General features: G+C 34.2%; 1 pseudogene; it reads left to right on the top strand.

Annotated features, from left to right (window-relative positions):
• NUDT21P1 (nudix hydrolase 21 pseudogene 1) lies at positions 563-1152 on the top strand (annotated as a pseudogene).

Here is a 12590-nt window from a genome sequence, read left to right as displayed (position 1 = left end):
TTATGATCTCTAGATTGGTTAGCCTAATTTGTTTTTAGTTTGCGAACTCTTGTGGGGTTTTTTGTTGTTGTTGCAGTTTTTTTGTTGTTGTTTGTTTGTTTCTTTGTTTTGACGGAGTCTCGCTCTGTTGCCAGGCTGGAGTGCAGTGGAGCGATCTCGGCTCACTGTGTTGTCGCAGTTTTAATGATATTTATGTTTTCTATTGTTTCAATTAGAAATCTTTCATGTAAAATTTTGTGACCATGTTATTCCAGCTAATTTTTATGTGTCCTATTATTCTTCTAAAGTAATCTACATTGTTAAAAACTGAGAAGAAAGTTAAAATGTATCCTTTTTTTTTTTACCTGACATATAGGCTTTAGAAATTTATAAATAATTTGCTAATTTTATAAATAATTGTTCAAACAGATGATATAATATAAAGCAGTTGCATACTTAAGAAAATGAGAAAAGGGCTTCCATGTTAACTGTAGACAATAGCTGCAGAGGGCAATATGGATAGCCTATATCCACAGGGTCCTCCCTACCAACAGGAACATAATTATCAATCAGCATTTGCTGTGGAGTCGATCATTTTGGCCATGAGTACATCTGACATCGCAAGCTCTCTAGACTATACCATCAGTCTGTAAGCTCTACCTATGATATGATTCCCCCTGTAAGGTACCTCTCTGCGAAAAGTACAGCTCTAATGCCGTCAGGTTTCTTTACCTGAAGAAGGAACCTGACAAGATTGAAAACAGGATGAATGAAAAAGCAATTCTAGTTGTACAAGAGAACTGGCTGTAACATGTGTTAGTGGTTAGCCTGGAATAACTTCTTCAAATTATTGGTAAACTCATTCCAGGAGAAGATAAAATTTTAGGACTCAGTGTTAGTCCTGAAAAACTGAGACTTCTGGCTGGAGTTCTGTGTCCCAGGGATTTGGGGACATCTCGGTATTTATGGATTCCAGTGAATAATTCAAAGCCTACAAGATAAAATAAGTTGTTTCTGATTCAACCTCAAGAAATGGGCATATTTACATATTCTAAAAAGGAGAAATAAAGCATTGTATTTGCACATTGTGTGAATTGTATCAAAAACCTCTAGAGTCTGGACCCATAACTTAGCCTCTTTGAAATTTTGAGCAGGTTCTACTTTATTTACAACTAAATGTCAACAATATTGAAGAATAGAAATAGTCATTATTGTGAGCACATGCTATGAGAACAGATTTGGAATACAAATCACAACATTTTCTTCTGATTTTATCTACCTTCTTAATCCCCAGATTGCCTCATTATTTTACAATGATTAATATTGTAAACTGGATATGCAGAACTAGATCGTGGTATAAACCAGTATGATAACATTTAATTCACTTTGATTATACCCACATTTTGGGGAACCACATTAAACAAAGTAGACCCCCCAAAAATGACAAAGGGCAAGTCTTGAGGCTAGTTTTGGCTACACAAACTTAAATGTATGAATGAAATATATGGAGGAAGTCTAGAAGAAAAATTTATCTTTGAGTCAACATAGCAGCTTGAAATCTTTTCTTTTAAAGAGACTAGAGGTGTTGTTTAATGGGTATAGTTTTGTATCTACAAGATGAAGAAGTTCTAGAGATATGTTTCAAACATTGTGCGTATACTTAACACTACTGAGCTATACACTGAAAAAGGGTGAAGATGGTACATTTTAGGTAATGTAATTTTTCTTCACAATAAAAAAATCACTGGGATCTAAAACTTCACATGCTAACTTCTTGATAGAATCCTGCCCTTAAAACCCCATGAATACTATTATATTTTTTATTCAATAGTATATCGTATAAGTTATATATACATTAATACAGCAAAAATTATTGTTTTAAGCCCCTGCTTTTTAAAAGGCGTGGTTCATTTGTGTGTATGTTATAGACATGAACAAAACTGTTCCTACCTTCACTAGACTTACAAAACAAATGGAATTTTTTTTTTTTTATGTTTTGTTGTTGTTGTTGAGACAGAGTCTCGCTCTGTTGCCCAGGCTAGAGTGCAATAGTGTGAAATCGGTTCACTACAACCTGCGCCTACCAGGTTCAAACGATTCTCCTGCCTCAGCCTCCCAAGTAGCTGGGATTACAGGTGCCTGCCACCACGCCTGGCTAAATTTTTGGATTTTTAGTAGAGACAAGGTTTTGCCTTGTTGGTCAGGCTGGTCTTGAACTCCTAATCTCAGTTGATCCACCTGCCTTGGTCTCCCAAAATTCTGGGATTATAGACACAAGCCACTGGCCCTGTCCGGAGATTTTTTTTCCACATGTCATTTTGATATATGTCATCTTTTTAAATTCTGTCTAATGTTTCATTGGATAAACTTAACTCTTATTTATTCTCTTACTGTTGAATACTTTGAAGCATTCCACTTTTTGGCTATTACGAATAATACTGAAATCAATACTTTTAAAATATATATATTTGAACACGTGAGAATCTAATTCTTTAAAATACATGTAGACATGCGATTGGATACAAAGGATTTTTGCATTTCAAATTGCCAAGGTATTTGCTGTATTGTTTTAAAAGTGCTTACACCAATTTAATCTCTTATCTTATATATAATTCCTTATTACAACCTTACCAACAAACATCCACAAACTCATAATAATTGTACATACATCAACACCACAAATTGCCTTTTTTTATAATTAATTCAGTTGATATCCATATATGAGGTAGTATATTTTAGTAATAAAAGGTAATGTTCTCTAGTCTTTCTAATCACAGTGTAGCTATTGAACAGGTAACATCAACGTCACCTGGGAGCTTGTTAGAAATACAGAATCCTGAGCCCCAACCCAGATACACTGAATGATAATCTGCATTTTAACAAGATCCCTGGTTGATCCAAATGCAAATTAAATTTTGAGAAGTGCTGATTTAAGATACGCAGGCCTAGGTTTTGGTCTTGTTATACTGCATAAATACTTTACATCTGTGTGAACATGGGCACCTCAATATATCTAAGTTTCCACATCTACATAACGTGAGCAATAATATTACTTATCTCATTTGGTCATTAGGTGATTTCAATGAAATAATATTTATAAAGGAGGTAGCAGAAAGTTTGGCATGTAATAATTATCAAGTAAATATTGGCTTCTATTAATTATAGTGAATCCTATATTTATCACATTATTATTATCTGATTAGTATTTATTTTTTGCTGACTGCTTGTTCTTGATATTAAGTACTAAGAATTTTTTAGATTGAATTTAGTAAGGCTTCCTATATTTATGACTTACAGTTTTTGTGTACTAGTATAAATAGAACTTTCCTTTTCTAATATTATATATTTAATTGGAAGAACATATAAATAAACTCGAAATTTATTATTTATATAGTTTTAATTCTTTAATCCTTTTTTTATTTAATTATTGTTGAACTTTAAGTTTTAGGGTACATGTGCACAATGTGCAGGTTAGTTACATATGTATACATGTGCCATGCTGGTGCGCTGCGCCCACTAACTCGTCATTTAGCATTAGGTATATCTCCTAATGCTATCCCTCCCCCCTCCCCCCACCCCACAACAGTCCCCAGAGTGTGATGTTCCCCTTCCTGTGTCCATGTGTTCTCATTGTTCAGTTCCCACCTATGAGTGAGAACACGCGGTGTTTGGTTTTTTGTCCTTGCGATAGTTTACTGAGGATGATGATTTCCAATTTCATCCATGTCCCCACAAAGGACATGAACTCATCATTTTTTATGGCTGCATAGTATTCCATGGTGTATATGTGCCACATTTTCTTAATCCAGTCTATCCTTGTTGGACATTTGGGTTGGTTCCAAGTCTTTGCTATTGTGAATAGTGCCGCAATAAACATACGTGTGCATGTGTCTTTATAGCAGCATGATTTATAGTCCTTTGGGTATATACCCAGTAATGGGATGGCTGGGTCAAATGGTATTTCTAGTTCTAAATCCCTGAGGAATCGCCACACCGACTTCCACAATGGTTGAACTAGTTTACACACCAGTTAGAATGGCAATCATTAAAAAGTCAGGAAACAACAGGTGCTGGAGAGGATGTGGAGAAATAGGAACACTTTTACACTGTTGGTGGGACTGTAAAGTAGTTCTTTAATCCTAATAAGTTATTTTCCAAATATACTTGCTATGAAATTTATTTATTATCCCTGCTTTCAAACATATTAAAGATAAGTAAACATTTAGCCTGTTCAGTAGTGAGTGCTACTCCTCTTAACATGTCTGTTTATGCTGTGTGTGTGTGTGTGTGTGTGTGTGTGTGTGTGTGTGTGTGTGTCCCTGGGACCTTTTTAAATGATTCAGAAGGCCTTTAACCCTTCCTTAAAAGGGTTACTTTAGTATACTTTAATAAATCTGTCTGCTATTTTTGCCGCTTTATATGGAGCTTACATTTTTCTAGGTTCAGTTTTATTTCATTACTTATAGCTCAACTAAGTTTTTGTTTTATCAACCTTTTGAGAGTAAAAAAAAATGGATACACATTTTTTTTTCATTTACTAAACACTTTTATCACCTCTGGGGATGTGTGCACAATAATGCTGACCTCCCACAGTTAAACATTCTGTTCACTCAGTGCATGAGATATTTCATCTTTGATCAGCATGGAGGCCTACTGGGTACTTTATTCATAAATGATAGGCTTCTTCACTTTTTAGCTTCAGGAAAGTTTTCTTTAAATCTCCATAATCATTTCAGTGTTGCTTCCTTCTTAAAACAAATGTGTTTGTGTTAATGATTTAGAATTCCCTATGGAGAATAAAGAGATGGTAAATTTTATTCCATGATCAAGACAGGGGAAAAAGAGGGGGAAGCTACTAGTAGGTTCTTTCTGATTAAAAACTTCTTTGTATATACTTTGGAACTACTCACAATTTAAGATGTGGATATATATATATATATATATATGATTCATATTGCTATTCTTTTATTAGAGGAAAATATCTGTGATTTCCAATTTTATTCTCAAATTTTATTCCCCCACTTTCCTTTTATTTGAAACACAGATAATCTATAAAGTTATATTCCAGATGATGACAAGTTCCTCATAGGAAAGAAAGGACACAGAAATAGGTTTTGCTTTTGGAAGAGTATAGGAGGAAAAGGTGGTAGCCATAGGGTGGGTAAGAAGAAAATTAGAATAAGTAAATAAATAACAAAAGCCTGATGGTCAGGGACTTGTGTGGTGGTTTAGAATTCTAGGTAGCCACAAAGACCAAGAGTGCCTTCAACCTCTTGTCAGCTCTTCCCTGGGCTTCCACCAGATGCTCATGAAAAAGTTTGGGCTCATGTTAGGGGACCTGAGAGAACTCTCAATGGGGCAAGTGCATAAATGATGGTTAGTTTCTGCTTCAGCATAGGTGCCAACTACTGAGGTCTTCTGCCATACAGAGAAAAAAACATCTGCCACCAAGGTAAGAGCAGAAATTCTTTCACTGTCAATCACCACCACCCACCATCTGTTCCTGGCAAATTTAGCCAGTGTGCTAGGGGTAAAAATAAAAGTTATCTGCATCTGGGTGATGGGCAAGGAATAGCCACAGCAGAAGTCCCAGGCAAAAGCTAGGGTCAACTAAGTGAAGGGAAGAAAACCTATGCACAGCTTTCTATCATCAATGATGCTATGCAACACCATTTGCTCCTAGGCCAGGGGCAGTGACCTGTGGCCACCAGAAAGGAGGCAGGAAACAGAATTGAACATAGGTTTCTGGTGATACAAGACAGAATTCAGCTTCCACAGTGGATGTGTAAGGATGCTGAGAAAAACACCCCTGAAGATCACATGGCAATGCTCTCCTGTAAGTGACAAGCTCCAGCAGTTCACACATAGGCAGAAGAAAAGCAAGTCTGCTTAGAAAGACCACCATCTTTGATGCAGGCATTCAGTCTTGCTGAAATTAGAGCATAGCACTGAGAAAAAGTGGTCTTGTACTTCAAATCTCACTCTGTTTTAAAGCAGCAGTAGTCTATCACTGGAGAAATTTGAGGTCTGTGGTGCACTTAAGGTAACTCAAGCAATAATAAACTGAAACATAGCTCAACTACAGAATAGAAAGACTCAGCTCACCATATCAACAGAACGAAACTCTACATTTTCTTGGCATAAATATTGTTTACCTCAGTTTTTGGTGTAATTTTATCAACCAGTGTCCAGCACCTGGTCATACGTGCATATACTACCTGTTTTCCACAGAAAAAGCAGTCAATACAACCAGAAACAGTGATAATACATATTTCGGTATTAAATACTATGAGAAGGGGATTAAAGTAACTATAGTTAATATGTTACAGCCAAACTGGAAAGGTAGATAACATTAATTCATGAGCAGATGGGAATTATCACAGACAAATGAAAATTGTAAAAAGCACATTGAAAATGGGGTAGATATACAATATATACACAGGTACACAATCAGAAAATGAAACAAATTCCAAATTCATATATATATACTCACATACATGCATGCTTAGCTGTGTTCTAATTAAATTAATGAAAGTCATTAATAAACAAAATATCCTGATGTAACTCAGTGGGGAAAACATTACACAAAAAGGAAGAGAAATAAAAATGATAGCAGGATTCTTATCCCACACTATACAGGCCAGAACACAATGGAGTGAGATCTTTAAATTACTAAAAATAAAAATCTATCAACATAGAATTCTAGAGCCAGAAAATAATATATTTTAAAAGTGAAGATGAAATATATAGTTTTTCAACAAAAAAAATACTAATAAATTCATTGCCAGGAGAATTGCATTGCAATAAATGTTAAAAAATAAAAGCTTTTCAGACAGAGAAATCATGGTAAAACAAAGAATGTAGAACCAGTAATGTATAAGGAAATACTGAATAATTGTATGACTATTCATCTTAAAAGATACTTGTTTGTTTGTTTGAGATGGAGTCTTGCTCTGTCTCCCAGGCTGGAGTGCAGTGGTGTGATCTCAGCTCACTGCAACCTCTGCCTCCTGGGTTCAAGCAGTTCTCCTACCCAGCTTCCTGAGTAGCTGGGATTACATGTGTGCACCACCATGTCCGGCTGATTTTTGAATTTTTTATTAGAGACGAGGTTTCGCCATTTTGCCCAGGCTGATCTCGAACTCCTGACCTCAGGTGATCCGCCCACCTCGGTCTCCCAAGGTGCTGGGATTACTGGGGTGAGCCACCACATCCAGTCCATCTTAAAAGATATTTAACTCTAAAAGAAATATAGAAACTCTACACAAATAAAGAAACCAATACCCTAAACAAATATGGAAACAATGTTTTTTGTGGATAATAACATTTTTAGAATTAGCTTGCACAACAGCAATAACACAAAAATGGGAGTGATAAAAGCAGGATTTTGTTGTAATGTTTTCATACTTCATATTAGATAGCATAAAATTAGTGGAAAACAGCCAGGTAAGTTACAGTTATACTGTAAGTCATAGAGCAATATTTTAAATTAAAGCAGTTGAAAACTATTAAACCAATAGTGAGAATAAAATAGAATCCTAAAACTGCTGACTTAATTAAAAAAATAAGCAGAAAGAGAAGAAAAGTGAAAAGGACAGATTTCACAACAAGAAAAATATCAGAGTGGTTGATTTAAGCACAACCACACTGATAATCACATTAAATAAAAATAAATACTGCAATTAAAACGCAGACTGATGGACAAAATAACAAGTCAAGACCAAACTCAGTGTCATCTGTTACAAACACACTATCTATGGGATCTACTATCTAGGTTAAATGTAAAAGGATGAAAAGAAAAATGTATTATGCAAACACTATTTAAAAGAAGTTGTAGTGGCTAAATTAAAATCAGAATAAAAGACTTTATGCAAAGAAATATTGCTGGAGACTAAGACGTTAACTGTATAAAAATAACATATTAATCTTTAAAAATTATTAATTTTTACTTACCTAATGACAGTTTCAAGAAAAGTAGAAATTCATAATAGTAAAAAGATTAAAATAATTAACAATCATAGTTGATAAATTCAACATTCTTTTGCAGTATTTGATAAAACAAGTAGACGTAAAATCAGTAAGAAATAAATCAACTTGGCCTAATTAGTATTTGCAGAATACTGCACACAGTGAGAATACACATTTATTTCAAGTTGATACAGAATAGTTACCACATAAGACCACATTTTATTTCAGAAAAATAAAAGTTTCAAGAAATTTAAAGAAATAGAAGTCATACAGATCACATGCTTAAGCAACAAATAATTTGCTTGTTAATGAATAACAGAAAGATATCTGGAAATAAAAATTATTTTGAAATTAAACAATCCTTTAAAATTATGCATGGATCAAAGAAGAAATTTCAAAATCCATTTCCTACTCCATTAAATGAAAATAGAATGTATCAAAAATTGGGGGATGCAACCAAAGCTGTACTTAATTTTATAGCCTTTAGTGGCTCTCTCTCTCTCTCTGTGTAGGTGTATATGTATATAGGGATATATATGAATATATATAGGGATATATAGATACACACACATCATTGATGTGTACACGGCACATCTTAAATCAATAATCTGAGCTTATTTTTTGGAAAATTAGAAAGAAAACAAATTAGATGCAAATTAGATAAAGGGAAGTCTGTAATAAACATAAGGACAAAAATCAGGGAATTAATCAGCATATATATTGCCAATTTATCTTTCAAAAAATGCAAAGGCAATGCAATGTAGAAAATATGGTTTTGTGGTTTTTCCAACAAATGATGCTGAAATATTTTGATATCAATTTTTTAAAAATTATGTAGAAACAGATCTTATACCTTTTACAAAAATTAAATCAAAATTTATCATTGATATGAATGTAAAATTAAGAATTATAAAAATTCTAGATAGAAACGTAAGTGACAATATATAAGACCTTAGGTTTGGTGGTGAATACTAGATAAAACACTAAAGCCATACTCCATGCAAGTACTAGTTGATTAATTGGACTTTATTAAAATTTAAAACATTTTCACTGAAAAAGAAAATTGTTAAAACAGACAAGCTATAGATTGGGAGAAAATATTTGAAACACCACATATGTATGAAAGGGCTTTCATCCAAACTCTACAAAGAAACACATAAAACTCAACAATTAAAAAGTGAACACAAGTTGTTTTTTTGTGTGTTTGTTTCTTTGTTTTTGAGACGGAGTCTCGCTCTGTCGCCCAGTGGCTCACTGCAACCTCCGCCTCCTGGGTTCAAGCAATTCTCCTGCCTTAGCCTCTTGAGTAGCTGGGATTACACGCTCCACCACGCCTGGCTAATTTTTGTATTTTTAGTAGAGATGGGGTTTCACCATGTTGGTCAGACTGGTCTGGAACTTCTGATTTCGTGATCCGCCCGCCTTGTGGTGATCCCAAAGTGCTAGGATTACAGGCACGAACCACCGTGCCTGGCCAACACAAGTTATAAAAGATCTAAACGATCTAACGATGATCTAAATGATCTCTCACAAAGGAAGATATACAGATGGAAATAAGCATATGAAAAGATGATCAAAATCATTAGTCACTGTGGGAAAAAGTAAAAATTATAATGAGATGCCACTACACACTTATTAATGGTTAAAAAAAAAAACAAAACAAAACGAAATCTGACAGTGGCAATTTCTGGCAAAGGTACAGAACAAAAGACACGCTCATTAACTGCTGGTGGGAATACAAAATAATGCCACAACCTTAGGACATAGCTTGACCATTTATTACTAGTGTAGTGGAGGTCCTGAGCTAAATTCAGTGACAAATGTTCATAGTAATAAGTCACAAGTACACAGATATAATAGTATTTTAAATACATAATAATACTGCATCCCTTTATTTATCCTCATGACTTTTTTTTTTGGTCAATCCTGAATCCGCATTCCTAGGTAGTCAATTAATTGGAAAACTTATGTCTCCACAAAATCCAGCATGTGAATATTTGTAGCAGCTGCATTCATGGTCACCAAAAATGGAAATTATCATTATGCACTTAAGTGGATAAACAAAATGTGATGCAGCCATACAGTAGAATACTGTTAAGAAATGCAAAAGAACGAGCTATCGATCCATGCATGGATCTTAAATGCATATTGCTAAGTGAAAGAAATCAATCTGAAAAAGCTATGTACTACATGATTCCCTTCATCTGACATTTTGGAAAGAGTTTTTGACATGCATTTTGATACTGGTTTCAAGGGTGTATTCTTATCTACAAACACATCAAGTTTTATAAATCAAATATCTACAGCTGTTTACATGTCAATCATATCTCAATAGAGTGGCTTAATTGAGAGAGAGAAGAGAAAATAGGTGTAAAGTAAATATCCTGAAATTTGAAGGAAGTACAAAATTTAAGAGGGAGAGAAATTTATGTACTGATTAGTAAAATGCAATGTAAAATAAAAATGTGAATAAATGACAAAAGGAAAGTATGATAAAACCAGAAAATAAAATACTATTCTGCAACCAAAATAAGTAAATAAATTATGATTCATGTAACAACATGCAATGAATCTCTACAGAATAGTGCTAAGTAAAAGAAGCACATTTAGTAGGTATGTATCAGACTCCTTTTACATGCCATTCTAGTAACGATAATACTGTACTGACAGAAGACAAATGAATGACTGTCAGACATTTGGAGAAGAAAGAGGGAAAAGTTTTTCTCCTGTCTGCAAAAGGGCAGGAGGAAAAGTTTTGGGGTAATAAAATTATTCTATACATTCATTATGTTTTTGGTTAAGCAGCTCATCACTGTGATCATAAAAAGTCTGATTTTTAATTTTTTTTTTATATAATGCTGCAGTAAACTTCACTTTTAATGAAAAGTTCAGTGTATAGGTTTACTGCATGAGAGACACCTAGGGATTTAATGTTATCAAGCACTCAGATTTCTGGGCCCTGAGCAGACACATTAAATAAGAACCTCGGGATGTGGAGCCTGAGAAGCCACACCTTTCAAAATTGCCTTCCAAGCCCCGGCTCTGACATAAGCATTTGCTTGACTATTCCATGCTTAGAAATGCCTGCTGAGCTTGTTAAATAAATCAGTTTATCATGTTTCACTGGAAATAGGTAAAATCTGTTCTTTTATTAATAAACACAAAACGTTATTATATGATATGCTGCTTGCATCAGCTTTCTGAGGTCAGACACGTCGATTTTGGTATCACAAGTAAGACCACAGACTTTTAGTATCTCATTGGCACAAACAATGGGGCTGTATTTAGACATAACTACATTTCAGGTTATAGAAAAGTTCACTTCATCAAGAGCTTCATAAAGATCCACTCAGAGGCTTGACGGAGAAGTAAATTTAGCGGTTAATTTTGTGTAAGGGTCTCAGATGAGTTGAGCACAAAACACCTGTGCTCAGCAATCTCTTGGTGACTTATTTGTTTGCAGGTGAAAAGCGAAGTGATAGCATGATGTTAAGTTTATTTATGTTACTACATACAGACTATGTCTGAGCTTTACTTTCTCAATAATTTCTTTTCTAAAGTTCTGATGACTTTTTATATTAAACATTAGGAATTGTTTTGTTAGATTGTAGTGGATTAAGAGTCAAGTAACTTTGTGAATTTTCATGCCTTGGTATAGTTATTGCAGCTGAGGCACTAAAAATATGTCATCCAATGGTATTGATGAATGCTTATATTTGTGGAACGTTAGCATGATGCTAGGGATACAAAAATGAAAGGAGTTCTTGCTTTCAAATTAAGTTATTAATATATTCTAGTGATAGAATGAAATGCACAGTCTATCATTCCATGGTATAAACTCACAACCATTTGTTCAAACACAAAATCCCAGATACCGAAGTTTTAATGGCACTTTCTTTTGTTAAATTAGCATGTTTTCATTAGAAAAAAAAGTGGATCGATAGTTTTGTTTTGGCGCAGAAGAAGATCACAACTTCCACAAGATCAACAACTTTAAATGGCTTGGATTTAAAATCAGAGTTGCAAATGTTTACATGCCATGAAATATTATCTAATATAAATTGTAAATATCAATTGAAATAGTATCCAGCCAAGCATCACAATATGTTAGTCATTATAATATCTGTATTAAACTACAGAGGATTTTTATGAGTTTTTTAATTATAACTTTAACTTGATTTATTTTCATATCCCTAACTTATTTGCAAACCTATATCCGGTAATTGGACAAAGAGCTACAAAACAACAAATATTTCACACTAATCTCAGGTAATTTTCCAGTGGATAGCAATTGCATTTTTGCCCATAACAGATAGGCATCCTGTTATATTCTAGCAAATGTCAGCCTTACTTGACAAGGGCAGCAATCTGCTTGATAAGGGGCTCACATTTCTTCTTGTTCCCAGCCTTCACTGTCTTTCACTTCTGTGCCTCAGGCACCACACAAGGTATGAAGTTTAAGTCCATGTGCTTATGCTCTCTGCTAACCAACTCATGACGACTGACAGTTGTGTGAACACCTGACTTAAAATAGTATCATCTCAATCACTTGCAGATAGATAAATAGCAGAAGCATAGACATGAATCTTATAATACAATGTCATGCTTGAAGAAGTTGCATTTAGAGTTGCCCTTAGCAACCA

The sequence above is a fragment of the Homo sapiens genome, chromosome 13, assembly GCF_000001405.40.
Source record: "Homo sapiens chromosome 13, GRCh38.p14 Primary Assembly".
NCBI lineage: Eukaryota > Metazoa > Chordata > Mammalia > Primates > Hominidae > Homo > Homo sapiens.
The sequence above is the reverse complement of the archived record's forward strand: the minus strand, read 5'-3'. Positions and strand labels throughout refer to the sequence as shown.